A 25,651-nucleotide genomic window follows, 5' to 3' on the forward strand; every position below is an offset into this window, starting at 1 on the left:
CTCCTGGGGTTATGAAAAAATGCCATCCAGCCTTGGGGGTGGGTTACTGGCAGGAGGTTTGAGTGTTGGATGCTTCCCCTTTACCCTTGCCTCTTGCTTCCCTAGTCCTTCAGTTAGACCCTATTGCTCTCTCTGTTGCCCTGGTAACCAGCTCTGCAAGAAGAAACTCAAGCTCAGCAAAGCCCCCAGGTTCTCTCTATCCTCCCAGCCTGCCTCTGGGTGGGCAGAAAGAAGAGGGTGTGTAAGCAGCAGACAGATAGCCTGAGGTGGCCCTGCCCAGTCCCCTTGTAGAAGCCCATGGGCTCAAAAAAAGCTCAAAGCTTTTTCGCCCCCATCTCATAGTTGTTATTCATACCACCCTGCCTTCCTCTTTATTTCTTCCATAAGCGGGTGCAAATGCTCTGCCAGCTCTCTTCCCCTTCAGGGTCAGCGCACAGACCTGCTACCTTGTAGGCAACTCGGAGCACCAAAGACTTGGAATTCCAAAGTCAGCTCCCAGCATCTGCAGCCCACTTGGGTTGACTGTCCGTCTAGGGCAGTGATTTTCAATCCTGGCCATTTGTGTCATGTGAGGAGCTTTTTAAAAAATACCATAAGCCTTCGCCCTGGTTCAGAAATCTGATTTAATTGGTCTGAGATATGGCCTAGGCATCAGTTTTTTTTTTGTTTGTTTGTTTTTTTTTTTTTTGAGACAGTCTTGCTCTTGTTGCCCAGGCTGGAGTGCAGTGGCATGATCTCGGCTCACTGCAGCCTCCACCTCCCGGGTTCAAGCGATTCTCCTGCCTCAGCCTCCTGAGTAGCTGAGATTACAGGCACCAGCCACCATGCCCAGCAAATGTTTGTATTTTTAGTAGAGACAGGGTTTCACTATGTTGGCCAGACTGGTCTCGAACTTCTGACCTCATGTTGCACCCTTCTCGGCCTCCCAAAGTACCGGGATTATAGGCGTGAGCTGTTGCACTTGGCCAGTATTTTTTTTTTTTTTTTAATATGGAGTCTCTCACCCAGGCTGGAGTGCAGTGGCATGATAACAGCTCACTGCAACCTTCACCTCCCAGGTTCAAGCAATCCTTCTACCTCAGCCTCCAAAGTAGCTTGGATTACAGGTGTGTGCCACCATGCCCGGCTAATTTTTTTTGTATTTTTAGAAGTGGGGTTTCACCATGTTGGTCAGGCTGGTCTTGAACTCATGACCTCAAGTGATCTGCCCGCCTTGGCTTCCCAAAGTGTTGAGATTACAGGCGTGAGCCACCAAGCCCAGCCAGCATCAGTATTTCTGAGAAGCTTCCCTGTGATTCCAGTGTGTAGTCAGGGTGAAAACCACTGCCACTCCAGGAGGACCATGACTTGATGCTGGCTCTCCTCACTGATTCAAAATGTTGAACTTAGTCTCTGCCTGACATCCTTGAGCATTTGGGGGAGTACTGGGGTCCTGTGTCCCAAGCTTCTAGCTTCCAGAAGTCTCTCAGTCTGTTTTATTTTCAACCCCCTACACCCTTCACACTCCCCAATTCGCCCTTCCTAACCAACAATTCCCAAATCCTGCCCAGAGAGAAGGTTACCAAGGCAACCGGCTTAATCTGGTAACTGTGGCATGTGCTGGGAGAGAAGCCCTTCCCTCTTCCTATTCAGTTCATAAAATGCTACCTGGGGAGCTCCAACCCATTCCAGCCACTTTCCCCTTTCAAGCCAGGGGATATTGGAGTGTCCAATAAGGGGAGCACAGGAAGCTGATACTCAGACCTCTAATACAGCTTCTTAGCCAAAATTGTGCGCTGTCTTCTTTTTACTGTTTCCAAATCCACAAACAGATGGGTGTGCAAAGCTTTATTTCTGTGAACACATGCTCTAGCACACATGGGAACAGATATGCACATACATTGATACGTATGTCATACACACCCTGTTCAGTTTTACTACCACTCCCAGCCATTAGCATTCCTGTCTCTGCCTGGTTGGTGCTCGGTAAACAGGGGTGGGGCATTGTCCAGAGAGCCTCAACCCATCGAGAACCTGCTGCCACTCCCACACCTTGTAAGTCTAACCTGGATGTTCTCACACTTAGCATGGCTTTACGATGCACCCCCCTCCTCCCCCACACTCCTTCTGGGGCAGCATATCCTTAAGGACAGAATGCTCCTGGTGTGGGCATCAGGAGTAAGGATTACTTGGAGTGCTAATTGGCACCACTTTTCCCACTCCATGGCCATGTACACTTGGGCTCTGTGCTTGATGATAGTCGGCAGTTCTGGGGCTTGTCACCTGTCTCCATGGCCCTGCTTCCTTCTGCTGCCAGCTGGGCTCAGGTGCCCTTGTGCTCCTGGTCTCCTCCCCACTGCCTATTATCCCCTCCTCACCCCAGCTAGACCTGCCACAACCTGCTGCTCCCTGCCTGGCTCCTACCTGCCTGCCAGTACCTGCCCACAGACCAGGCCCACACCACCTATTGTGCCCTACCAGAGAGGACAGATGGGCACCGCCTCCAGTGGCAATGCTAATTCACCCAAGAGGCCTTCCCAGCTCTTCTCACAGAAGGAAGATAAACTCCACATATTTCTGTGAGTATGAGAAAGGTGCACACTCTTGGGTTCAGCAATCTGTAGGCCTGACTTGGGTACACAGGTAGGTGAGTGAAGGTGTCCAGGCCACAGACCTGTCCTGACTCTTTGAAATGATGCTGAGACCCGGTTATCCCTTGAGCCAGGAATCCTTCCCCATTGGTAAATCTCTGACTTACCTTTGCCCTTAATTTCTTCTGCTTAGAACCCAAGTCCCTTACTGTTTCCCTCGCGGTCAACCCCAGCGCGCGAGTTCAAGCCTCGTGCGGCGCGGGGGCGAGCCGAGGAAGGGTAGGGGCGGGGACTGGGCGGGGACTGGAGGAGGGGGCGCGGTCTCGGTTCTGCCACCTTCCCCCTCTTCACGGCCAGGAGCGCAGCCGCCGCCGCCGCCGCCGCCGCGTCCTCTCAGCCTTGCGCTCCGCCCGCTGCCTCTGCCGCCGCAGCGCAGAGCCGGGCGCACCGGCCCCGCAGCCTGCCCACTCTTCGGGCCGCGTGCCGGCTGCAGCCGGCATGGGGGGTTGCTGAGAGCGAGCACTCCTTTCCTCTGGCACCTCCCCCGGCTACTGGCCACTGGACTCTGGCCAGCGAGGCTCGGCCCCTCTGGCCCCCAGTCTGGCGCCTGGCACGGCCCTCTACTCTGCTCCTCCAGCTCTGAGCATCGTGTCTTCGCCGCCCCCCCCGCCCGCGCCTGGGATACCTGGGTCCCCCGGCGACCCCTAGGAGAGGGGCGGGGGGGGGCATGAAGCCGCTGGAGAAATTTCTGAAGAAGCAGACGTCGCAGCTGGCGGGCCGAACGGTGGCGGGAGGTCCCGGCGGGGGTCTGGGGAGCTGCGGTGGGCCTGGAGGGGGTGGGGGACCCGGCGGGGGCGGCGGTCCAGCCGGGGGACAGCGGTCGTTGCAGCGGCGTCAGAGCGTGTCTCGCCTGCTGCTCCCCGCTTTCCTCCGGGAGCCCCCCGCCGAGCCGGGGCTGGAGCCGCCCCCTGAGGAGGAAGGAGGAGAGCCGGCGGGGGTCGCGGAGGAGCCGGGCAGCGGGGGGCCCTGCTGGCTGCAGCTGGAGGAGGTGCCGGGGCCCGGGCCTCTCGGGGGAGGGGGGCCCCTGCGCTCCCCTTCCTCCTACTCATCTGACGAGCTGTCCCCAGGCGAGCCCTTGACTTCGCCGCCCTGGGCCCCTCTGGGCGCCCCCGAGCGGCCCGAGCATCTTCTGAACCGGGTTCTGGAGCGGCTTGCTGGAGGGGCTACCAGGGACAGCGCCGCCTCAGGTAAGGAGCCGGTGGGCTCGAACACCCAGAGCAGGGGCTGGCCCCGGCTCCTCTTCCTTGCCCTTGGAGCGTAGGGGTGGCGCCGTGCCGGGGCTTGGTTATAGGGTTGAGTGGTCCGCGGAAGCCGGCTAGGGGCCTAGCGGAGGTACAGACCCTCCCGCGGAAGAGGAGAGCAGTACTCACCTTCCTCCCTACAGCAGCCTCACCCTCGTCTGGAGAAGCAGCTGAGCCTCTTACTCTCCTTCAGCCACCCTTCCTTTCCCCTGGGCATTGGAGCCACTGACTCCCATGGGTCCCTGATGTTGAATACCTCCTCCTGTGGCCCCAAATTAGGGCCTGACACATTAAAATGGGAGCTGCCCAGCGCAGCCATGCCACCCGCCAGAGGTGCTTTAGCCCTGAAAACCCTGGGGTCCCTGACTGTTCAGAGGCCTACACAGCGCAGGCTGACCCACCCAGGGAGGCAGTGCCAGACAGGCACAGGCCCCAAGCTGCCTTTTAGGCATCAGCAAAGGGATGCGTTGTCCTTAGCAGTTTGGTGGGGGGGATAGTATTCTCCTTGGGCTGGACTCAGAAGGTGTCTGGGAGGGGAGAGGTGGCTGGGCCGGCATCATGGCCCTGCAGCATCCAGGGTGTCCAAGCGCCTCCAGCTTCCACCCTTCGGTGGCAGGCCTCAGCACCCGGCTTTTTTTTTTTTTTCTTTTGGAGATGTAGTCTCACTGTCACCCAGGCTGGAGTGCAGTGGCGCCATCTCAGCTCACTGCAACCTCCACCGCCCAGGTTCAAGCGATTCTCCTGCCTCAGCCTCCTGAGTAGCTGGGACTACAGGCATGTGGCACCACGCCTGGCTAATTTTTGTATTTTTAGTAGAGACAGGGGTTTCACCGTGTTAGCCAGGATGGTCTCGAACTCCTGACCTCGTGATCCACCTGCCTTGGCCTCCCAAAGTGCTGGGATTACAGGCGTGAGCCACTGGCCTGGCTAATTTTTGTAGTTTTAGTAGAGACGGGGTTTCGGGGTTTCACCAACTTGGTCAGGCTGGTCTTGAACTCCTGACCTCGTTATCTACCTCCCCCCACCCCCACCCCACGGCCTCCCAAAGTGCTGGGATTACAGGCGTGAGCCACCGGACCTGGCACACGGCCTCTTTAAAATATAATCACCACACCCTGAGAAGCTTATTCCCTAAATGATGATACTATTTCACCACTCCCTTTCAGCACCCCTACTAAGGGGCCTTTGAGGAAACCAAGGCCCCAAATCTGGTTAGTTCTGAGGTAGAAGACCGAGGGTTCTTTAGGTCTAGCTCTAGGCATTACTCTAAGCCCAGGAGGGTCTGAGGTTTGGGAGCCCCGGCTGAGGCCCTAATGGTGAGGGCTTTCACACTTGCTCTCAGCCCTCGGCAGGGAACCCCAACCTAGATGTGTGGAGGGGGGCTCCACTCTCCTAGATCCTTCTCAAGACCTGGGTCCTCTCCTTTGGAGCAGGCTGTAGTTGCCCTGGGGAGCTGACACCTTTTGGATTTAATTAGAAAAATATCAGACACACACAGCTCTCCTAACCATAACTTCCCGCCTACACCACACACCCTGTGTCTCTATGACACATTCCCTAGGGAGGCTGTACATTGGCCCAGAGCCTGCTTTGGAAAAGACAGATGCCCAACTGTGGCCCCCATATCAGCATCTCCCCAACTCTGCCCCATCTTACTCTTCCTTTGCTCCAGCTTAGGAATCCTGTGAGATAAAGTCTATGAAGGATGTCAGGCCTCTCGTTTCCTCACCCTCATCCCTGAAGCTGGGGGTCAGAGCTGGAGGCTCTCTGACTCATTGTAAGAACACAGCAGGGTAGCTGGGCAGGGAGGAAAAGGGAGAAGCTGTCTTTCCCCTTTTACAGGGGCCTGGTGCCACACGCTCCGCTCATTCTCCCCTGGGGTAAGACTCCTGAAATGTCACCCATGTTATCTGGCAGCCTGGATCCCCAGAGTAACTAGTTTGGGAAATTCCAAACCAGTCCCAGGTGAATGAGAATCAGCTTAACCTGCCACTCTGATGTTCTCCAATAAAACCAATGTTCTCAAGTCATCCTGGTCTCCTCCCAGGGTGTGTGGGAGGAGAGAACTTACAGAAGTTACTCTGAACCTACCAAAGCCTCTCCAACGTCCAAGCAGCCCCCTCTGACCGCTAGGTTTTACCCTAACACTCTGCTTGCCTCAGGCATATTGAGAAAAGGACAAAGACTCAGGATTCTGGGTTCTTATTCCAGCTCCAGGCAAGTCCCTCCCAGCTCTGGGCCTCAGTTTCACATTTGCGAAATGAAATCCTTGAAGTCAATTACTTTGTGTTGGTTTTCCTCCTCCGCCTGCATGGCTAGAACTGACCACAGGAGATAGTGAACCAAGGGGAGTCAGAAGCCTTGGTTTTGTCCTGGGACAGTGCCTGGGGACCTGGCCCTAACCAGTCCTGGTGAGGACACCTGGCTCCCTCCCTGCACCTTGTCTGTCTGTGTGTGCCAGGTGGCCCTGCCCCACCCCAGGGCTGGCTGCAAGTCAGGGCGACCTTGTACCCGGCTGACTGGCTGAGCCAGGCCCAGACGGGGGTGTGGAGGGGAAAGGGGTGGTGAGAGGAGCCGCTCCCCTTCACCATTCCATCATTAACCCTTCTGTCTCTGGGCCCCTAAAGGACACAGGATTTCTATTTAAAGGTTCTGGGATCAAAGTGATGGCAGTCTCTCCATCTCCCTTTTAATCAGGCTGGTTCCCACCTGCCTAGTTAGAACTCAAAGCTGTTAGGTGGGAAATGGGGAGGGGAAGAGGGATACACACACATGCACACACACAGTCCCCACTGATGCTAACCTCTGTGTTTGGAAATACTCTTTGTCTGGAGACACTTCTGTGGGCTACTTCTTTTTTCAGGCAGAACTCAACCTTGGTGTGTTATCTGACCAACTTCCCACATACGCTGAAGAGAAGTGCACATGGCCATCAAAGGCACGCGCCCCCCCCTTCCCTTCAGCTGCCTTGGCAGCTGCCGAACCCACCCTCGCAGTGGCTGCCCAGAACCTTTACACATGTATGTGTGCGCGTGTGCAGAGCATGACAAGGCAGGTGGCTGGGGCTCCAGCCTGGCTAAAGAGAACTTGCCCTTAGGGGCAAGAGAGGGAGGCACTGCATTTCCAGTTTCGTTCTGGAAGTGCCCACCTGACATCTGTGGTGCCCACTGATCTTTACAGATATCCTGCTGGATGACATTGTCCTTACCCATTCTCTCTTCCTCCCGACGGAGAAATTTCTGCAGGAGCTACACCAGTAATATCCTTTTGTGGAGTTTGGAAAAGGAGAGGTCAGAAGGGAGCCACTCCCTCCGTCCCACATGCAATCTCAGAGCCTAAACTCTCCCCTAGGAAACATACCTGGGGCCGAGTGCAGTGGCTCACACCTGTAATCCCAGCACTTTGGGAGGCTGAGGCAGGCGGATCACCTGAGGTCAGGAGATCAAGACCAGCCAGGCTAACATAGTGAAACACCATCTCTACTAAAAATAGAAAAAATTAGCCAGGCATGGTGCCACGCACCTGTAATCTCAGCTACTTGGGAGGCTGAGGCAGGAGAATCACTTGAACCCGGGAGGCAAAGGTTGCAGTGAGCCGAGATCGCGTCACTACACTCCAGCCTGAGTGACAGAGTGAGACTCCATCTCAAAAAAAAAAGAAAAGAAAACATACCTGGGTTTCAGTCCCAGCTTTTCTACTCATCAGCTGTGTGACTTGTACAGATTACCTAACCTCATGGGGACTCAGTTTCCTTTTCTGTAAAATGGAGGTAAATAGCACCTGCCCTGCCTATCTATTAGCTGCTATGAAGATCAGTCTGATAGCAGATGTGGGAGTGCTTTGGAGGCTGCAGAGCCCTGTACAAATGAAAGGTGTTATTTATTTATTTATTTTGAGATGGAGTCTTGCTCTGTCACCCAGGCTGGAGTACAGTGGTGCGACCTTGGCTCACTGCAGCCTCTGCCTCCTGGGTTCAAGCGATTCTCCTGCCTCAGCCTCCCCCATAGCTGGGGACTACAGGCGCACACCACCACACCTGGCTACTTTTTGTATTTTTTGGTGGAGACGGAGTTTCACCATGTTGCCCAGGCTGGTCTCGAACTCCTGACCTCAAGTGATTCGCCTGCCTTGGCCTCCCAGAGTGCTGGGATTAAAGGCGTGAGCCACTGCGCCCAGCCAAGGTGTTATTATTCTACTAAGGGCACCTCTATCCCCACTGAATTATTGCTCTAAAACATCTGGTTGCCCAGTGAGTTATGATGGGGTCTGATGTAAACATCAGGCCATGGTTGTGCTTCAGTAGGGTCCGCTAGAGAGGAGCCACTGGATGGGCTATTCATAGGGTCTCATGTAAGCATGGGCCTCTCACAGAGTTATTTTAGGACCTAATTGTAAATGTCAGACCACTGAGTAGAATGTTACAGGCTCCCAGCCAGGCACGGTGGCATATGACTTTAATCACAGCACTTTGGGAGGCTGGGGCGGGTGGATCACTTGAGGGCAGGAGTTCGAGATCAGCCTGGCCAACAAGGTGAAACTCCGTCTCTACTAAAACACAAAAAATTAGCCGGGTTTGGTGGCAGGCACCTGTAATCTCAGCTACTCAGGAACCTGAGGCAGGAGAATCGCTTGAACCCAGGAGGCAGAGGTTGCAGTGAGCTGAGATCATGCCATTGCACTCCAGCCTGGGCAACAGAGTGAGACTCCCTCTCAAATAAATAAATAAATAAATAAATAAAAGTAACAAGCTGTCTTAGAAACATCAGGCCTTCCAGTGAGGTATAGTCAGGTTTGTGGTAAACACCATTGGCATTTATTAGGCGCACTGTGAGCTCCAGGCCCTGGGCTGGTCAGAGGTTGGATGGGTCTGGGCAGGGTATCCTCAAGTGAAAATCTAACCTGTCTAACCTGCAGGAGCTGGATGTGGTCAAGTGGTCATCGCTACCTACTCTAAGCAAAAGCCTGGGCTGGGGCATGAGGAGGTCTTGGCTTCAGGACCACCGAAACTCCTTTCTCTCTGGCCCCAAATCTAGAGAATACTTGGGGGCAATTTAGCCTCCCATCTTTCTTTTCTTTTCTTTTCTTTTTTTTTTTTTTTTTTGAGATGGAGTTTTGCTCTTATTGCCCAGGCTGGAGTGCAATGGCCTGACCTCGGCTCACTGCAACCTCCGCCTCCCGGGTTCAAGTGATTATCTTGCCTCAGCCTCCCGAGTAGCTGGGATTACAGGTGTACGCCACCACTCCCAGCTAATTTTTTGTATTTTTAGTAGAGATGAGGTTTCACCATGTTGACCAGGATGGTCTCAAATTCCTGACCTTAAGTGATCCACCTGCCTCAGCCTTGCAAAGGGCTGGGATTACAGGTGTGAGCCACCGCGCCTGGCCTTTTTTTTTTTTGCCTTTTTTTTTTTTTTTTTTTTTTTTTTGAGACAGAGTCATTCTCTGTCGCCCAGGCTGGAGTGCAATGGTGCGACTTTGGCTCACTGCAACCTCTGCCTCCCAGGTTCAAACGATTCTTGTGCCTCAGCCTCCAGAGTAGCTGGGATTACAGGTGCACACCACCATGCCCGTCTAATTTTTGTATTTTTAGTAGAGTCTTCGTTTCACCATGTTGGCCAGACTGGTCTCGAACTCCTGACCTCAGGTGATCCGCCCGCCTCAGCTTCCCAAACTGCTGGGATTATAGGCGTGAGCCACTGCGCCCAGCCTAGCCTCCCATCTTTCTTCTCAATTCCTCAGGTCTGCTTGCGTAGGGATTTTTCTTAACTTAAGGGTCAGCTTTGTTCGGGCAGGAGGCATGGAGGGCCCTGAAGGGCTGGGCCGGAAGCAAGCCTGTCTAGCCATGCTTCTCCATTTCTTGGACACCTACCAGGGGCTGCTTCAAGAGGAAGAGGGGGCCGGCCACATCATCAAGGTGGGCCTGGGGGAAGAGAAGGTGGGTAAACAGGCTATTAGCTCTGGAAGGGGGCCCCTGTGAAGGAGCCATACTTCTCATTCTGGGTACCTGGAAGGAAGAGATGCCAGGGGGCCTTAGCTTATATGGCTCTCCTGTGCTTAAAGGTATGGAGACCTTGCCCGGCCCCTGCAGAGAGTAGCCCTTGGAATGAGACCCCTTCCTTCACCTTCTTTGTCCTCCTCTCTCCAGGATCTATACCTGCTAATTATGAAGGACGAGTCCCTTTACCAGGGCCTCCGAGAGGACACTCTGAGGCTGCACCAGCTGGTGGAGACGGTGGAACTAAAGTGAGGGGGAGTGGGGCAGGGGCGGGAACAGGAAAGTGGTCCCCTGCGTTCCTCTACTACAGGGGCTGCCTCTGGCCTATTGGCTGCAATATGGATTTGCTTGTTTGTTTGTTTGTTTTGAGACAGAGTCTCACTTTGTCGCCTAGGCTGGAGAGCAGTGGTGCGATCTCGGCTCACAGCAACCTCCACCTCTTGGGTTGAAGTGATTCTCATGCCTCAGCCTCCTGAGTAGCTGGGATTACAGGGGTGCACCATGCCCAGCTAATTTTTGTACTTTTAGTAGAGATGGGTTTCACCATGTTGGCCAGGCTGTTCTTGAACTCCTGGCCTCAAGTGATCTGCCTGCCTCAGCCTCCCAAAGTGCTGGGATTACAGGTGTGAGCCACTGTGTCTGGCTTCCAATATGGTTTTATTTCAGCTCCTTTCTCTCACTGAAGGGTGGCACAAAGCACTGTCTCCAGTCACTTTTTTGTCCATTCTCCCATTCATTTGTCTGATAATCCAGTGGTGTACTGGTAAATATTTAACAACCAGTGCTGCAGGAGAAAGAGCCCTGATTTGTAGCTTTTGCTGATTCCTACAGTGTAAACTCTGTCACCATGGCTGATTTCAAGCTACCAATGTGACAACACTGAAAGAGGAGTTGGGAAGAGACATGCAGCACAGGCTGTTATGTAGTATCTCCACCATACAGTAGATGTAGTAAAAGGTAGTAAAATGGCTGGGCAAGGTGGCTTATGCCTGTAATCCCAGCACTTTGGGAGGTCAAGATGGGTGGAGCACTTAAGGTCAGGAGTTCAAGACCAGCCTGGCTAACATTGTGAAACCCTGTCTCCACTACAAAAAAAAAAAAAAAAAAAAAGGCTGTGTGCCAAGGCAGGCAGATCATGAGGTCAGGAGTTTGAGAGCAGCCCGGCCAATATGGTGAAACCCTGTCTCTACTAAAAATACAAAAATTAGCTGGGCGTGGTAGGGCGCTCCTGTAGTCCCAGCTACTTGGGAGGGTGAGGCAGAAGAATTGCTTGAATCCAGGAGGTGGAGGTTGCAGTGAGCTGAGATCATGCCACTGCACTCCAGCCTGGGCGACAGAGTGAGATTCTGTCTCAAAAAAAAAAAAAAAAAAAAGAAAAGAAAAATTAGCTGGGGGTGGTGGTACGTGCCTGTAGTCCCAGCTACTCAGGAGGCTGAGGCAGGAGAATTGCTTGAACCCAGGAGATGGAGGTTGCAGTGAGCTGAAATCACCTTACTGCACTACAGCCTGGGTGACAGAGCGAGACTCCGTCTCTAAAGAAAAAAAAAAAGGCCGGGTGCGGTGGCTCACGCCTGTAATCCCAGCACTTTGGGAGGCTGAGGCAGGCAGATCATGAGAGGCAGATCATGAGATCAGGAGTTCGAGACCAGCCTGACCAACATGGTGAAACCCCATCTCTACTAAAAATACAAAAATTAGCCAGGCATGGTGGCACATGCCTGTAATCCCAGCTACTCAAGAGGCTGAGGCAGGAGAATGTCTTGAATCCAGGAGGCAGAGGTTGTAGTGAGCCAAGATTGCATCACTGCATTCCAGCCTGGGTGACAGAGTGGACTCCGTCTCAAAAAAAAAAAAAAGGCCGGGCGCGGTGGCTCACGCCTGTAATCCCAGCACTTTGGGAGGCCGAGGCGGGTGGATCATGAGGTCAGGAGATCGAGACCATCCTGGCTAACAAGGTGAAACCCCGTCTCTACTAAAAATACAAAAAATTAGCCGGGCGCGGTGGCGGGCGCCTGCAGTCCCAGCTACTCGGGAGGCTGAGGCAGGAGAATGGCGTGAACCCGGGAAGCGGAGTTTGCAGTGAGCCGAGATTGCGCCACTGCAGTCCGCAGTCCGGCCTGGGCGACAGAGCGAGACTCCGTCTCAAAAAAAAAAAAAAAAAAAAAAAAAAAAAAAAAAAGAGGTGGGCTGGGTGTGGTGGCTCATGCCTGTAATCCCAGCACTTTGGGAGGCCGAGGCAGGCAGAATGAGGTCAAGAGATCGAGACCATCCTGGCCAACACGGTGAAACCCTGTCTGTACTAAAAATACAAAAATTAGCCGGGCGTGGTGGTACACACCTGTAATCCCAGCTACACGGGAGGCTGAGGCAGGAGAATTGCTTGAATCCAGGAGGTGGAGGTTACAGTGAGCCGAGATTGCAGCACTGCACGCCAGCCTGACAACAGAGCAAGACTCTGTCTCAAAAAAAAAAAAAAAAAAGTAGTGAAAACAGGAAGGAAACTGTTTTTTTGGTAACAACTTATTTGATTATAAATTTTATGTATTATTTATTAATTTGTATTATTATTTTTTAATAGAGACGGTTTCATTATGTTGTCCAGGCTGGGCTCCAGCAATCCTCCCACCTTGGCCTCCCAGAGTGTTGGGATTCTAGGTGTAAGCCACCACACCTGGCCTGACTATAAGTTTATAAAACATATATATTTATATATGGAGATATATTTGTTTATTTATATTTTAATGGCTCTTTAAAAAACAGTTGGTAAAATTCCCCAGAACTTAACAGTATGCTCTTGTGAGCCAGTGTGAACCAGCTTCAGGACACCACTGTATCCATCCATCCATGAATCCATTCTGCCCTTTTAGTTTCTCTCTTCTCTTGTCCCCACCACCACAACCCTTAGGGAGGCCTCAGCTTGTGGTCTAGCATCCTTCTCTGCCTTCTCTGTGCTGACACTAGAGAGATCTTTCATGCTCCTGTTCCAAAGGCATCCCTGCTCCCCATGCTTCCAAGAGAAAGTGAAACATCCCAGCATTCAATACCCTTCCCTTTCTGCCTTCTGCTGATCCTTCCCATCTCATCTCCTACATCCCCTCCATCCATGACACCTCAACTCCTGCGCTCTCGAACTTCCCATGGTCGGTTATATTGTCCACCCCAGAATGCCCTCCTCCCACCATGTTTTCTTTTTTTTTTGAGACAGAGCCTGGCTCTGTCGCCCAGGCTGGAGTGCAGTGGTGTGATCTCGGCTCACTGCAAGCTCTACCTCCCAGGTTCACACCATTCTCCTGCCTCAGCCTTCTGAGTAGCTGGGACTACAGGCGCCTGCCACCACGCCCGGCTAATTTTTTATATTTTTTTTAGTAGAGACGGGGTTTCATCGTGTTAGCCAGGATGGTCTAGATCTCCTGACCTCGTGATCCGCCCGCCTTGGCCTCCCAAAGTGCTGAGATTACAGGCGTGAGCCACCGCGCCTGGCCTTTTTTTTTTTTTTTTTTTTTTGAGATGGAGTCTTGCTCTGTTGCCAGGCTGGAGTGCATGGCGTGATCTCAACTCACTGCAACCTCCCCCTCCCGGGTTCAAGCGATTCTCCTGCCTCAGCCTCCCAAGTAGCTGGGATTACAGGTGCACGCCACTACGCCTGGCTAATTTTTGTGTTTTTAGTAGAGACGGGGTTTCACCATGTTGGCCAGGCTGGTCTTGAACTCCTGGCCTCAAGTGATCTGCCCACCTCAGCTTCCCAAAGTGCTGGGATTACAGGTGTGAGCCACTGCACCTGGCCTCCACCTCCTTCTCTTCCTGCTTTCCTCCAAGGCCCAGGTCAAATGCCATCTTCTCAATGAAAACTTCCCAGATCTTCCTTTTAGGAATAGCTTTCTTCTTCCCCCACACCAGCATAACTCTCCTGGTACCTTTGTTATATTATCAACACCTCCTGCCTGGTATTAGAAGTAGCTGTATGCCTGTCTATCTCCTTCCTAGACTGTGAAGTTCTTTTCAGCAAAATTCAGCAAACAGCTGCTGACCTACTACCTACCATGTGTCAAGCAGTGTGTTAGGCCCTGGTGGATGAAAAGATACTCAGTAAGAACCAAATCCCAGTCCTCAAGAGCTCTCAATCTCATAGAAGAGATAAGAGGTGAACATAAACATTATCCCAATGTTCTATAGTAGTTGAGAGAAGAAAGTGACCTTCCTGGTGGGTGGGGTGGATCAGAGAAGAATTCATGGAAGAGGTGGCATTTGATTAGGGTTACTTGGATAATTATCCCATACTGCTCATTGTCCTCTCTTCTGACCCCCTTAACCACCTGAAATTGCTGCTGGTGCATCCTTGACCCAATTCTGATATTCTTGCTTGATGTTGCCTGCTTGGTGTTGGTTGTCCATATGCCTGGCAGGGCGTGCTGATGCCCAGCTGTGTCCATGCCAGGATTCCAGAGGAGAACCAGCCACCCAGCAAGCAGGTGAAGCCACTCTTCCGCCACTTCCGCCGGATAGACTCCTGTCTGCAGACCCGGGTGGCCTTCCGGGGCTCTGATGAGAGTGAGTGTGGGCATTAGGAGGGGCAGGGTGTCCTGAGTGGCTCAGGGGGACATATCTCTGGGTCTTGAGCACCCTCAGTGGCATCTCCCTGGGTGGTAGAACCAGCCCCTTTCACAGGACCTTCTTCAGAGGCCAGCCTCTGGTGGGGAATAGAGGCACCCTGGAGGAGACTGTGCCAGCTGCTGCCACTCTGCCCTCTGTTGAAAGCCATTTTCCTGTTTCCGTCCAGTCTTCTGCCGTGTATACATGCCTGACCACTCTTATGTGACCATACGCAGCCGCCTTTCAGCATCTGTGCAGGACATTCTGGGCTCTGTGACGGAGAAACTTCAATATTCAGAGGAGCCCGCGGGGCGTGAGGATTCCCTCATCCTGGTAGCTGTGTCCTCCTCTGGAGGTGAGGGTCAGGAAGAACTGGGCTGATGCTCCGAGAGGAGAAACTCACAAGCTCAGGGCTCTGGGGGAGGGGTAGAGACTGAATTCTAGGCCCTTGCTACTCAAAGTATGGTCCCGGGACAAGCCTCATGTGCATCGCCTGGGAACTTGTTAGGATGCAGCATCTTGCTGGGTGCAGTGGTGCAAACCTGCAGTCCCAGCTACTCAGGAGGCTGAGGCAGGAGGATTGCTTGAGCCCAGGAATCCAAGGTAGTACATTATGATTGCACCTGTGAATAGGCACTGCGCCCTATCCTGGGCAACATAACAAGACTCTGTCTCTAAAAGAGATGCAGCATCTGCGACCCCACCCCGACCTGCTGGTCTTGTTCAAATCAGCATTTGGACAGGACCCCCCAGGGGACTCCTATGCCTACTAAAGTTTGGGAGGCACTAGCTGGGCATGGTGGTGTGCACCTGTAATCCCAGCTACTTGGGAGGCTGAGGCAGGAGAATCACTTGAACCGCGGAGGCGGAGGTTGCAGTGCCGAGATCAAGACACTGTGCTCCAGTCTGGGCAACAAGAGCGAAACTCCGTCTCAAAAAAAAAAAAAAAGTTTGGGAGGCACTGGTCTAGGACTCAGGTTCTGATCTGAGTGCTGCCCCTCACTCACCTATGGATTGTATTCTGATCCTTTAACCTCCCTGTGTATGTAAGGATGCCACATTTCACAGGCTAAAGACACAGGATGAGTGGGAAGGCAGAAAGCCAGCAATGTCACTGAAGCTTTGTTTTCCTCTACAGTAGGAAAAAATTTCAGCCTTCCCAGTGTCACAAGGACAACAGAGTAAGAGAAAAGCTGTGAAAGAAAGGGAGTAGAAAAAAAGTTATAAATGCAAAAGAAATAATCATTTGACAAATTCCAGATAAATATGGCATAAACTAGTGATAAGATGAGTTCCATTAGTCTAGAATGTGTCAGTGTGGGGTGAGGAGTTTTTGGATAGGACAGTGTCAGTGTGGGATGTGTGAGGGTGCAGGCGGCAGGGGCCGAGGATGAGCAGCTCTTTCTCCTGCAGAGAAGGTCCTTCTCCAGCCCACTGAGGACTGTGTTTTCACCGCACTGGGCATCAACAGCCACCTGTTTGCCTGTACTCGGGACAGCTATGAGGCTCTGGTAAGAACTTCCCAAGGCCTTGACTGGAATGGAGGGCTGAGGAGGGCTGTGAGCAATCCCTCACCCTGCCACCAGGAGCCCAGCCCCTATGCCCCTGCCTGCCACCAGGTGCCCCTCCCCGAGGAGATCCAGGTCTCCCCTGGAGACACAGAGATCCACCGAGTGGAGCCTGAGGACGTTGCCAACCACCTAACTGCCTTCCACTGGGAGCTGTTCCGATGTGTGCATGAGGTGGGGACCGAGGCTGGTGCTATGCTGGGGGGCTGGAGGGAGAAATGTGCCATTGGGAGACGGTGTTCGCAGCACAACGTCCTGGTTCCAAGGCTCACTTGCAGCAAGCCCTTGGGCAACGCATGGCCGTAACCTTTGTTCCCCCATCTGAAAAAAATCGCAAAGAGAGAGACCCCAGAGCACAGTGGCTCAGGGCCCAAGTGCTGTTTACACAGAACCTGACCCAGGATTTCTATTTTTAAAATATTCACTATTAAAGAAATAAAATAAGGCAGAGACAATAATGCCTAGCAGATGGTTGTCTTGAGGATGTCAGCCGTGAGCGAATGCCTGGCACCTAGTAAGTGCTCAGTAGCTGGTGAAATATTATTAATGCTGGTTGTTTTCTTTTTCCGCATCTTTGCCGCCTCCTGTCCTTTCTATTTTTCTATTTTCCACCCCTTCCGCCCCCGCCCTCCTGCCTTTCGCTCCTCATCGCCTTGCACTGCCATCTTCCCACCCACTCCCCTCACCCCCTGGCGCCCTGGCCGCCCCTCCGCTGCCGTGGGTGCAGCTGGAGTTCGTGGACTACGTGTTCCACGGGGAGCGCGGCCGCCGGGAGACGGCCAACTTGGAGCTGCTGCTGCAGCGCTGCAGCGAGGTCACGCACTGGGTGGCCACCGAAGTGCTGCTCTGCGAGGCCCCGGGCAAGCGCGCGCAGCTGCTCAAGAAGTTCATCAAGATCGCGGCCCTGTGAGTGCGGCCGTCGGCGGGATGGGGGGCCGGAGGCCGGAGGCCCGCGCCGCCGCCCGCCCCTGACCCCGCCTCCCACCCCCGCAGCTGCAAGCAGAACCAGGACCTGCTGTCTTTCTACGCCGTGGTCATGGGGCTGGACAACGCCGCTGTCAGCCGCCTTCGACTCACCTGGGAGGTGATGAGACCCCTCCCGTTCCTACCTGGGAATCTGGGCATCCCGGGCTCCCCGAAGTGCGTCCTCCCGGGACGGCCGCCGGCCTGGAGGGAGTCTTTGCGCCAGTTGGAGGGAGGCGCCCTCTTCTGGCATACGCAACCCCAGGGCGCACAGCTTGGCTAATGGACCCTGTCTTTGTGCAAATTAGTGAAAAGCCCGGATCCCGCCTGAGTCACGGCAGGCAGCCCTTGGCCAGGTCAGGTCGCAGACTTGGCTGTGGGAGTTGGGCTGATTTTCATCCACACTCAGTGGGGGCATCTTTATACAAAGCACCTGCATAAGACAGACCTGGCCTTCCCCAGAATAATGAATTCCTCTGGGCTGTTTCAAGCCTCTAGACTTAGCCAAGGCCTGACTTCATTTCCCCACCCACCAGCTTCCCAGCCCCCTACAAGCCATGCAGGCCCTTTTGCCCTCCAACAGGGAGAATTAATCCGAGGCTCCCATGTAACCCAAGGAGCTCCACTCTGATATCCCTTCTCCTTCCTTCAAACTCTGCAGAAGCTGCCAGGGAAATTCAAGAACTTGTTTCGCAAATTTGAGAACCTGACGGTGAGTGGGTTTGGCTCTTTCTTCTGCTCTTGGACTGAGAGCCCAGAAACCCTCTGTTCCCATAAACCCCCTTCCTCAAGCTTTCCTTTCAAGGTGTTTAGTGTATGGGACCCCCCACCCTCCTTACCATGCTGGAGGGTGAGGTTGGAAGGATTGCGCCCCTGTTTTTCTTGAAGGAAAGGGGGAGTAGTCAGGTCCCTCCCCACCACACCATTAGAAAGCCCCCAGCACCCCTATCTGATCAGGAATGTATACAAGGCAGGGGGTGAGGGAGGAAGCTGAGGACATCTTTGGGATGCATTGGCCAGTCTGTCCCTTGATCTCTCTCCTGTGGAATACTAGGACCCCTGCAGGAACCACAAAAGCTACCGAGAAGTGATCTCCAAAATGAAGCCCCCTGTGATTCCCTTCGTGCCTCTGATCCTCAAAGGTGAGAGAGTTACTCCCAAGCTGTGCCGCTTCCACCCATGCTTCCCTTCTCCTATGCCCTGCTTCTGACTTCCAGCTCCCTCTCGACTCAGCCCTGAGTACCCACCTGGAGAGGAGCCCCCCACCACAGACGGAGTGGGTTCTGGGGAAGAGCGGGGTCCTCGGGTGCAGTGGCCCCTTTCGAACTCCTCTCTTATCCTTTCCTCACATTGGATTCTCTCCACATCCCCTAGACCTGACTTTCCTGCACGAAGGGAGTAAGACCCTTGTAGATGGTTTGGTGAACATCGAGAAGCTGGTGAGTGAGTGGCACTGCAAACCCCTAGTCCCACAAGTGGGGGGCTTGCATCCTCTCCCTCTCTCATCACCTCCCAAAAATAGCAGCCTTCCTCCAAGTGCCCAGCTTGCCTAACAGACTCTTGACTGTCTCCCTGGTGGCATCACTGTGGCAACCCACCCACAGGTGGCAGAGCTGACAGGCAGCTTGGGGGCAACTTCACCTCCCCCTCACATGGCACTCTGTTACACCCACTCCTTTGGTCCTTCAGAGACCCTCCAGAATTGGAGACTGGAGGGAGTAAAGCAGAGTGGGAGAATGGCGGAGGGGGAGCATAAGAGGGGGAGCCTCTTTCTGTGCCCCTTTCAAGGCTCATTCCTTGTCATCTCCCAGCATTCAGTGGCCGAAAAAGTGAGGACAATCCGCAAATACCGGAGCCGGCCCCTTTGTGAGTACCCAGGGTACTGAGAGCAGTACAGATAGAGCTTTGACTGAACGGGAGGGTTCAGGGGAGAACTCCCTGTCCAGATGTGTATTTCCATACACTTGCTGGTTCCCCATTCTCTCCTTGCCTCTGCAGAGGCCTTCCTGCCCAACATCTGTCTCAGTCCACAGCCTGATCTTCTGCCCGGTGTGTGTGTAGAGGAAGAAGGGAAGCTGGGAACCTGACTGCCTCTCCCTCTTTACCCACTAGGCCTGGACATGGAGGCATCCCCCAATCACCTGCAGACCAAGGCCTATGTGCGCCAGTTTCAGGTCATCGACAACCAGAACCTCCTCTTCGAGCTCTCCTACAAGCTGGAGGCAAACAGTCAGTGAGAGTGGAGGCTCCAGTCAGACCCGCCAGATCCTTGGGCACCTGGCACTCAAGCACTTTGCACGATGTCTCAACCAACATCTGACATCTTTCCCGTGGAGCAACTTCCTGCTCCACGGGAAAGAGGTCGATGGATTTACCCCTGGACCCATAAGTCTGTTCATCCTGCTGAAGTCCCCTCCCCATTGCTCCTTCAAGCCAAAACTACACTTTGCTGGTTCCTGTCCCCTCTGAGAAAGGGGATAGAAAGCTCCTTCCTCTATGTCCTCCCATCGAGATCTGTTCTGGGGATGGAGCTTCCAACTTCCTCTTGCAGCAGGAAAGAATGCTGCTCACCCTTCTGTCTTGCAGAGTGGGATTGTGGGAGGGATTGGCAGCCTTCTTCTCCACCACCTGTCCAGCTTCTTCCTGGTCAGGGCTGGGACCCCCAGGAATATTATGTTGCCGTGTGTGTGTGTGTGTGTGTGTGTGTGTGTGTGTGTGTGTGTGTGTGTGTGTGTGTGTCTTCTTTTAGGGAGCAGGAGTGCATCTGGTAATTGAGGGTGGATGTTGTGTGTGCTGGGGAGGGGTCCTTCTGTTTGGTGCTACCCTTGTCTACTCTGCCCCTGGATGGTGCGGGGTGCTTTCTCCACCCCCACACTCCCTGCTCAGCTCCTCGTGCTGCCCTGCATGCCCAGGCTTGTGAGCCAAGCTGCTTTTTGGGGCAGGGAGTAGCAGCAGGTGGGAGGGGTTACCCATCAGCCCTTGCAAGTCCCCCACTCAGGCCTCTGGAAGGTCCAGGGATGGGCTCTGATGAGAGGGTAAAAGATGCTCAGGGAAACACAGGCCTCAGCTGCCTAGAGGACCCTCCCCCTGCCTTGCAGTGGGCTCGGGTAGAGCAGTATCAGGAGCTAGGGTTGTCTGCTGCCCACACTCCTGCTTTTTGGGATATCTAACTGCTAAGGAGGGAGTTGACATCCCCCTTCTGGCTCATGTGTCTGACACCAACAACATGGTCTCTGTCCCTCTCTCTTTGACTCTCCCTTTGTCCTCCCCATAGAGCTGGGGTGGGGTGGATCCCTATACCTGGGGCAGGCAGCCCCAAAGTGGGGGAGGGGGATGGCAGAGACTGTAAAGGCGCCACTGGACTCTGGCAAGGCCTTTATTACCTTTACTCCCCTCCCTCTCCCATCACCAGCCTCAAGGCCTGAGGGGTGCAGGGGCTCCTGGCAGCTACTGGGTGAGGTTTCCTGGCACAGACTCACCCTTCTTTCTGGCACCACCTCTTTCCCTTTTGAAGAGACAGCAACAGCCGTAGCAAAAGCAGCTGCTGCTCCTGCTATGAGGGTGTATATATTTTTTACCCAAAGCTCTGGAATTGTACATTTATTTTTTAAAACTCAAAGAGGGAAAGAGCCTTGTATCATATGTGAACATTGTATCATAGGTAATGTTGTACAGACCCTTTTATACAGTGATCTGTCTTGTTCCTGCAGCAAAAATCCTCTATGGACATAGGAGGTGCTGTGTCCCATGCCCTCTTGCCCTGACAGTGTCCCATGGGCCCCCTTCTGCTCCCTGCCCCCTCCCTGCTACTGCTGATGCACTCTCCTCTCCCTGCAGCCCCTGGCTTCCCAGCCTTCCTCCTGACCCCTTCCAACAGCCTTGGAACTCCAGCTGCCACCACCCTCTGGGTCGGACACTGGGACCCACTGGCCCAGTCTTGGCTGCTGCTTACCCCTAGCCTTGATGCCTGCCCAGGGACCCCCAGCCCCCTCCCGTTGCCCTGCAGCTTTAACAGAGTGAACCATGTGTATTGTACAGGCGCGGTTGTCATTGCAGAAACCGCTGGGTGGAGAAGAAGCCGATAAAGTCTATGAATCAACCTGCCTGTTGTTCTCCATTCTGTTTTCTTTGAGGCTGTGGAAGTGCTGAGGGAGGGGAGAGGGGATGGCCGCCCAGTGCTGTCAGGAGCAGGGCTGTTCTGGAGTGACTTTGAAAATGTGGGTGGCGGGGTACAGTGGCTCATGCTTGTAATCCCAGCACTTTGGGAGGCCGAGGCGGGCAGATCACCTGAGGGCGGGAGTTCGAGACCAGCCTGGCCAACATGGTGAAACCCTGTCTCTACTAAAAATACAAAAATTAGCCAGGTGTGGTGGTGCATGCCTGTAATCCCAGCTACTTGGGAGGCTGAGTCAGGAGAGTAGCTTGAACTCAGGAGGCGGAGGTTGCAAGGCGCAGTGGCTCTCCAGCCTGGGCAACAGAGCAAGACTCTGCCAAAAAAGAAAATGTGGATGAGAGGAAAAGATGCCAACCTCACAAGACATGTCACATAATGCCTGGAACTCAGAAGAGGGGATGGGATGTTTTCGTTCATACATGTTCCAGGTGGCATAAATATGAGATCACATTTAATTCTAATGCTAAGGTAGAAGATTGAGGCACAGCAGTCCCAGAATAATTACTAGTGAGGGCACTGGTCCCCTAACCCAGGTCTGTCCCCTGAAGACAGCATGTACTGTTCACACAACCAATATTTACCAGTTCTACTAAGTTTTGTTTTGTTTTGTTTTTTTTGAGACGGAGTCTTGCTCTGTTGCCCAGGCTGGAGTGCAGTGGCGTGATGTCTGCTCACTGCAAGCTCTGCCTCCCAGGTTCATGCCATTCTCCTGCCTCAGCCTCCCAAGTAGCTGGGACTACAGGTGCCCACCACCATGCCGGGCTAATTTTTTTTTTAATATTTTTAGTAGAGATGAGGTTTCACTGTGTTAGCCAGGATGGTCTGGATCTCCTGACCTCGTGATCTGCCCACCTCGGCCTCCCAAAGTGCTGGGATTACAGGCTTGAGCCACTGCGCCTGGCCCAATCCTACTAAGATTATAGGGTGCAGAGAGCCTAGCGTTAGGCTTAAATGATAGCCTGAGTTCCAGGAGACATCATACACTCAAATAGCTATACCTGGGCCCTTGATAATCCCCATTCACATCTGTTTCTGCCTCAGTCTTCTGCATCTCAGAAAAATGATCCTCTCATCCACCCAGGTTTTCTCTCTCTGTTGCCCAAGCTGGAGTGCAGTGGCGTAATCTTGGCTCACTGCAACCTCTGCCTCCCAGGTTCAAGTGATCCTCCTGCCTCAGCCTCCTGAGTAGCTGGGATTATAGGCAGAGGCCACCACACCCGGCTAATTTTTGTATTTTTAGTAGAGATGGGGTTTCACCATGTTGGTCAGGTTGGTCTCAAACTCCTGACCTCAAGTGATCCACCCACCTCAGTCTTCCAAAGTGCTGGGATTACAGCTGTGAGCCACTGCCCAGCCACCTACCCAAGTTTTCAAGGCAAAAATACAGGACTCACCATTGGTGCCTCTTTCTCCCACCCTTCATTCATCTCAGCCAGTCCCATCGGCTACAATTCCAGAGCATTTTCTGAGTGATCCACTTCTGTATGACTCCCCTATGACCATACTAGTCCAAACCACCTTCATAGCTTCCCTGCATGACTACTGCAGCCTCCTACCTGGTCTGTCAGCTTCCTCTCTTTGATCCACCCCTACCTGCCACCAGTTTGATTTCCACATGGCAGCCAGGGTGTTCTTTCAGAAACACCAATCACGCTGGGCATGGTGGCTCAAGCCCATAATCCTAGCACTTCGGGAGGCTGAGGCAGGAGGATCGCTTGAGCCCAGGAGTTCAAGACCAGCTTGGGCAACATAGTGAGACCCTGTCTCTACAAAAAATAAAAAATTAACGAGGCTGCAGTGAGCTGCGATAGCACCACTGTACTATAGCCTGAGCAACAGAGTGAGACCCTGTTTAAAAAAAAAAAAAAAAAGAAAGGAGAGCAAGGGAAGGAGGGAGGGAGGGACAGAGGGAGGGAGAGAGGGAGGGAGGAAGGAAAGAAGGAAGGAAGGAAGGAAGGAAAAAAACCCAGTGTCTTTCAACACATGAATGGACAAATGCATTGGGGCATATTCTTATGGTGGAATACTATATAGCAAGAAAAAAGAACAAATTATTAATACCCACGTGAATGAATCTCACAGACTTAATGTTGAATAAAGGAAGCCAGACACAGGCTGGGTATGTTGGCTCACACCTCTAATCCCAGCACTTTGGGGGCCTGAAGTAGGAGTGAGAGGTGAAGCTGGCTGGGCTTCTGGGTCAGGTGGGGACTTGGAGAAGTTTTCTGTCTAGCTAAAGGATTGTAAATGCACCAATCAGTGCTCTGTGTCTAGCTAATCAGGTAGGGGACTTGGAGAACTTTTCTGTCTAGCTAAAGGATTGTAAAAGCACCAATCAGCGCTGTGTGTCTAGCTAAAGGTTTGTAAATGCACCAATCAGTGCTCTGTGTCTAGCTAAAGGTTTGTAAATGCAGCAATCAGTGCTCTGTGTCTAGCTAAAGGTTTGTAAATGCACCAATCAGCACTCTGTAAAAACGAACCAATCAGCACTCTGTAAAACGGACTAATCAGCATTCTGTAAAATGGACCAATCAGCGCTCTGTAAAATGGACCAATCAGCAGGATGTGGGTGGGGCCAGGCCACCCGAGCCAGTAGCGGCAACCCACTGGGGTCCCCTTCCACGCTGTGGGAGCTTTGTTCTTTTGCTCTTTGCAATAAATCTTGCTGCTGCTCACTCTTTTGGTCCGCACTATATGAGCTGTAGCACTTACCACAAAGGTCTGCAGCTTCACTCTTGAAGCCAGCGAGACTACGAACCCACTGGGAGGAACAAACAACTCCAGAAGCGCCACCTTTAAGAGCTGTAACACTCACTGCTGAAGGTCTGTGGCTTCATTCCTGAAGTCAGGGAGAGGACGAACCCACCAGAAGGAAGAAACTGGACACATCTGAACACCTGAAGGAACAAACTCCGGACACACCATCTTTAAGAGCTAACACTCACCGTGAGGGTCTGTGGCATCATTCTTGAAGCTTCATTCTTGAAGTCAGCAAGACTAAGAACCCACTGGAAGGAACCAGTTCTGGACACAGGAGGATCTCTTAAGCCCAGGAGTTCAAGACCAGCCTGGCCAACATAGTGAGACCCCTATCTCTACAAAAAATAAAAAATGTAGCTGGGCATGGTGTGTCGCGCCTGTAATCCCAGCACTTTGGGAGGTTGAGGCAGGAGAATCCCTTGAGTCCAGGAGTTTGAGACCAGCTCAGGCAACATAGGGAGACCTTGTCTCTACAAAAAAATAAAAAAATAGGCCAGGTGCGGTGGCTCATGCCTGTAATCCCAGCATTTGGGAGGCCGAGGTGGGTGGATCACCTGAGGTCGGAAGTTTGAGACCAGCTGACCAGCATGGAGAAACTGTCTCCACTAAAAATACAAAATTAGCTGGGCGTGGTGGCACATGCCTGTAATCCCAGCTACTCGGGAGGCTGAGGCAGGAGAATCGCTTGAACCTGGGAGGCAGAGGTTGTGGTGAGCTGAGAGCGTGCCATTGCACTCCAGCCTGGGTAACAAGAGCAAAACTCCATCTCAAAAAAAAAAAAAAGGCTGGGCAGGGTGGCTCACGCCTGTAATCCCAACACTTTGGGAGGCTGAGACCTATGGATCACGAGGTCAGGAGTGCAAGACCAGCCTGGCCAAGATGGTGAAACACCATGTCTACTAAAAAATACAAAAGTGAGCTGGGCATGGTGGCAGGCACCTATGTAATCCCAGCTACTCAGAAGGCTGAGGCAGATAATTGCTTGAACCCGGGAGGCAGAGGTTGCAGTGAGCCGAGATCGTGCTACTGCACTCCAGCCTGGGCGACAGAGTGAGACTCCGTCTCAAAAAAAAAAAAAAAAAAAGCCATATATGGTGGTGCATTCCTGTAGTCTCAGCTACTTGGTAAGCTGGGGTGGGAGGATTGCTTGAGCCTGGGAGCTCAAGGCTGCAGTGAGCAGAGATCATGCCACTGTATTCCAGCATGGGCGAAAGAGGGAGACCGTGTCTCAAAAAAAGAAAAAAAAAAAGCCAAGCATAGTGGTGCATGTGTGTAGTCCCAGCTACTCAGGAGGCTGAGGTGGAAGGATTGTTTAAGCCCAGGAGTTCAAGGCTGCAGAGAGCTATGATTGCACCACTGTACTCCAGCCTGGGTGACAGAGTGAGACTCTTTCTCTTAAAAAAAAAAAAGAAAAAGAAAAAAAGGCCGGGCACGGTGGCTCACGCCTGTAATCCCAGCACTTTGGGAGGCCGAGGCGGGTGGATCACGAGGTTAGGAGAGTGAGACCATCTTGGCCAACATGGTGAAATCCTGTTTCTACTAAAATACAAAAAAATTAGCTGGGTGTGGTGGCGTGCGCCTGTAATCCCAGCTACTTGGGAGGCTGAGGCAGGGGAATCGCTTGAACCCGGGAGGGAGAGTTTGGAGTGAGCTGAGATTGCGCCACTGCACTCCAGCCCGGCGACAGCGACAGAACAAGACTCAGTCTAAAGAAAAAAAAGGCTGGGCGC

General features: G+C 53.0%; 1 protein-coding gene and 1 non-coding gene across 8 annotated transcripts, besides 9 other annotated features; both read left to right on the forward strand.

The window, feature by feature from the left end:
• Positions 1,785-2,285: an enhancer, noted in NCBI's record as "H3K4me1 hESC enhancer chr17:38332602-38333102 (GRCh37/hg19 assembly coordinates)". NCBI's record gives its function as "activates a minimal SCP1, AML or CMV promoter by ChIP-STARR-seq in naive and primed H9 embryonic stem cells {active_cell/tissue: H9 hESC(naive and primed)}" and the evidence as "EXISTENCE:reporter gene assay evidence [ECO:0000049][PMID:30033119]".
• Positions 2,286-2,786: an enhancer, noted in NCBI's record as "H3K4me1 hESC enhancer chr17:38333103-38333603 (GRCh37/hg19 assembly coordinates)". NCBI's record gives its function as "activates a minimal SCP1, AML or CMV promoter by ChIP-STARR-seq in primed H9 embryonic stem cells {active_cell/tissue: H9 hESC(primed)}" and the evidence as "EXISTENCE:reporter gene assay evidence [ECO:0000049][PMID:30033119]".
• On the forward strand, positions 2,446-21,086 carry RAPGEFL1 (Rap guanine nucleotide exchange factor like 1). 7 transcript variants are annotated; one of them, XM_047436203.1, is made up of 16 exons: positions 2,446-2,558; positions 2,928-3,817; positions 7,052-7,130; positions 9,650-9,785; positions 10,017-10,114; positions 14,302-14,414; positions 14,644-14,811; positions 15,870-15,967; positions 16,076-16,198; positions 16,752-16,930; positions 17,018-17,108; positions 17,649-17,699; positions 18,042-18,129; positions 18,362-18,426; positions 18,799-18,853; positions 19,100-21,086. In XM_047436203.1, the coding sequence occupies exons 2-16, from the start codon at positions 3,298-3,300 to the stop codon at positions 19,222-19,224; spliced, it is 1,989 nt and encodes a 662-aa protein (XP_047292159.1). In that variant the 5' UTR covers positions 2,446-2,558; positions 2,928-3,297; the 3' UTR covers positions 19,225-21,086. The 7 variants fall into 7 exon arrangements, with proteins under 7 accessions (XP_047292159.1, XP_047292161.1, XP_047292160.1 ...); XM_047436205.1 differs by lacking the exon at positions 2,928-3,817 and adding an exon at positions 6,735-6,891; XM_047436204.1 differs by lacking the exon at positions 2,928-3,817 and adding an exon at positions 6,735-6,809.
• Positions 2,818-2,947: a silencer, noted in NCBI's record as "silent region_8482". NCBI's record gives its function as "represses an Ori minimal core promoter by ATAC-STARR-seq in GM12878 lymphoblastoid cells {active_cell/tissue: GM12878}" and the evidence as "EXISTENCE:reporter gene assay evidence [ECO:0000049][PMID:35858748]".
• Positions 3,178-4,034: an enhancer, noted in NCBI's record as "H3K4me1 hESC enhancer chr17:38333995-38334850 (GRCh37/hg19 assembly coordinates)". NCBI's record gives its function as "activates a minimal SCP1, AML or CMV promoter by ChIP-STARR-seq in naive H9 embryonic stem cells {active_cell/tissue: H9 hESC(naive)}" and the evidence as "EXISTENCE:reporter gene assay evidence [ECO:0000049][PMID:30033119]".
• Positions 4,035-4,889: an enhancer, noted in NCBI's record as "H3K4me1 hESC enhancer chr17:38334851-38335705 (GRCh37/hg19 assembly coordinates)". NCBI's record gives its function as "activates a minimal SCP1, AML or CMV promoter by ChIP-STARR-seq in primed H9 embryonic stem cells {active_cell/tissue: H9 hESC(primed)}" and the evidence as "EXISTENCE:reporter gene assay evidence [ECO:0000049][PMID:30033119]".
• Positions 16,918-16,977: a silencer, noted in NCBI's record as "silent region_8483". NCBI's record gives its function as "represses an Ori minimal core promoter by ATAC-STARR-seq in GM12878 lymphoblastoid cells {active_cell/tissue: GM12878}" and the evidence as "EXISTENCE:reporter gene assay evidence [ECO:0000049][PMID:35858748]".
• Positions 17,098-17,177: an enhancer, noted in NCBI's record as "active region_12132". NCBI's record gives its function as "activates an Ori minimal core promoter by ATAC-STARR-seq in GM12878 lymphoblastoid cells {active_cell/tissue: GM12878}" and the evidence as "EXISTENCE:reporter gene assay evidence [ECO:0000049][PMID:35858748]".
• On the forward strand, positions 19,033-19,099 carry MIR6867 (microRNA 6867). Its single transcript, NR_106927.1, has one exon. It is a non-coding gene; the product is annotated as a microRNA 6867 (primary transcript).
• Positions 19,879-20,379: an enhancer, noted in NCBI's record as "H3K4me1 hESC enhancer chr17:38350695-38351195 (GRCh37/hg19 assembly coordinates)". NCBI's record gives its function as "activates a minimal SCP1, AML or CMV promoter by ChIP-STARR-seq in primed H9 embryonic stem cells {active_cell/tissue: H9 hESC(primed)}" and the evidence as "EXISTENCE:reporter gene assay evidence [ECO:0000049][PMID:30033119]".
• Positions 20,004-20,053: an enhancer, noted in NCBI's record as "active region_12133". NCBI's record gives its function as "activates an Ori minimal core promoter by ATAC-STARR-seq in GM12878 lymphoblastoid cells {active_cell/tissue: GM12878}" and the evidence as "EXISTENCE:reporter gene assay evidence [ECO:0000049][PMID:35858748]".

The sequence above is a fragment of the Homo sapiens genome, chromosome 17 (assembly GCF_000001405.40).
Source record: "Homo sapiens chromosome 17, GRCh38.p14 Primary Assembly".
In the NCBI taxonomy this organism is placed as follows: domain Eukaryota; kingdom Metazoa; phylum Chordata; class Mammalia; order Primates; family Hominidae; genus Homo; species Homo sapiens.

Bases quoted from the DNA above. Each gene is read 5' to 3' on its own strand.
- RAPGEFL1 (XM_047436203.1), top strand. From the start codon at position 3,298: ATGAAGCCGCTGGAGAAATTTCTGAAGAAGCAGACGTCGCAGCTGGCG. The intron at 16,199-16,751 runs GTGGGGACCGAG...CCGTGGGTGCAG, and splicing joins TGTTCCGATGTGTGCATGAG to CTGGAGTTCGTGGACTACGT. The intron at 18,854-19,099 runs GTGAGTACCCAG...TTTACCCACTAG, and splicing joins ATACCGGAGCCGGCCCCTTT to GCCTGGACATGGAGGCATCC.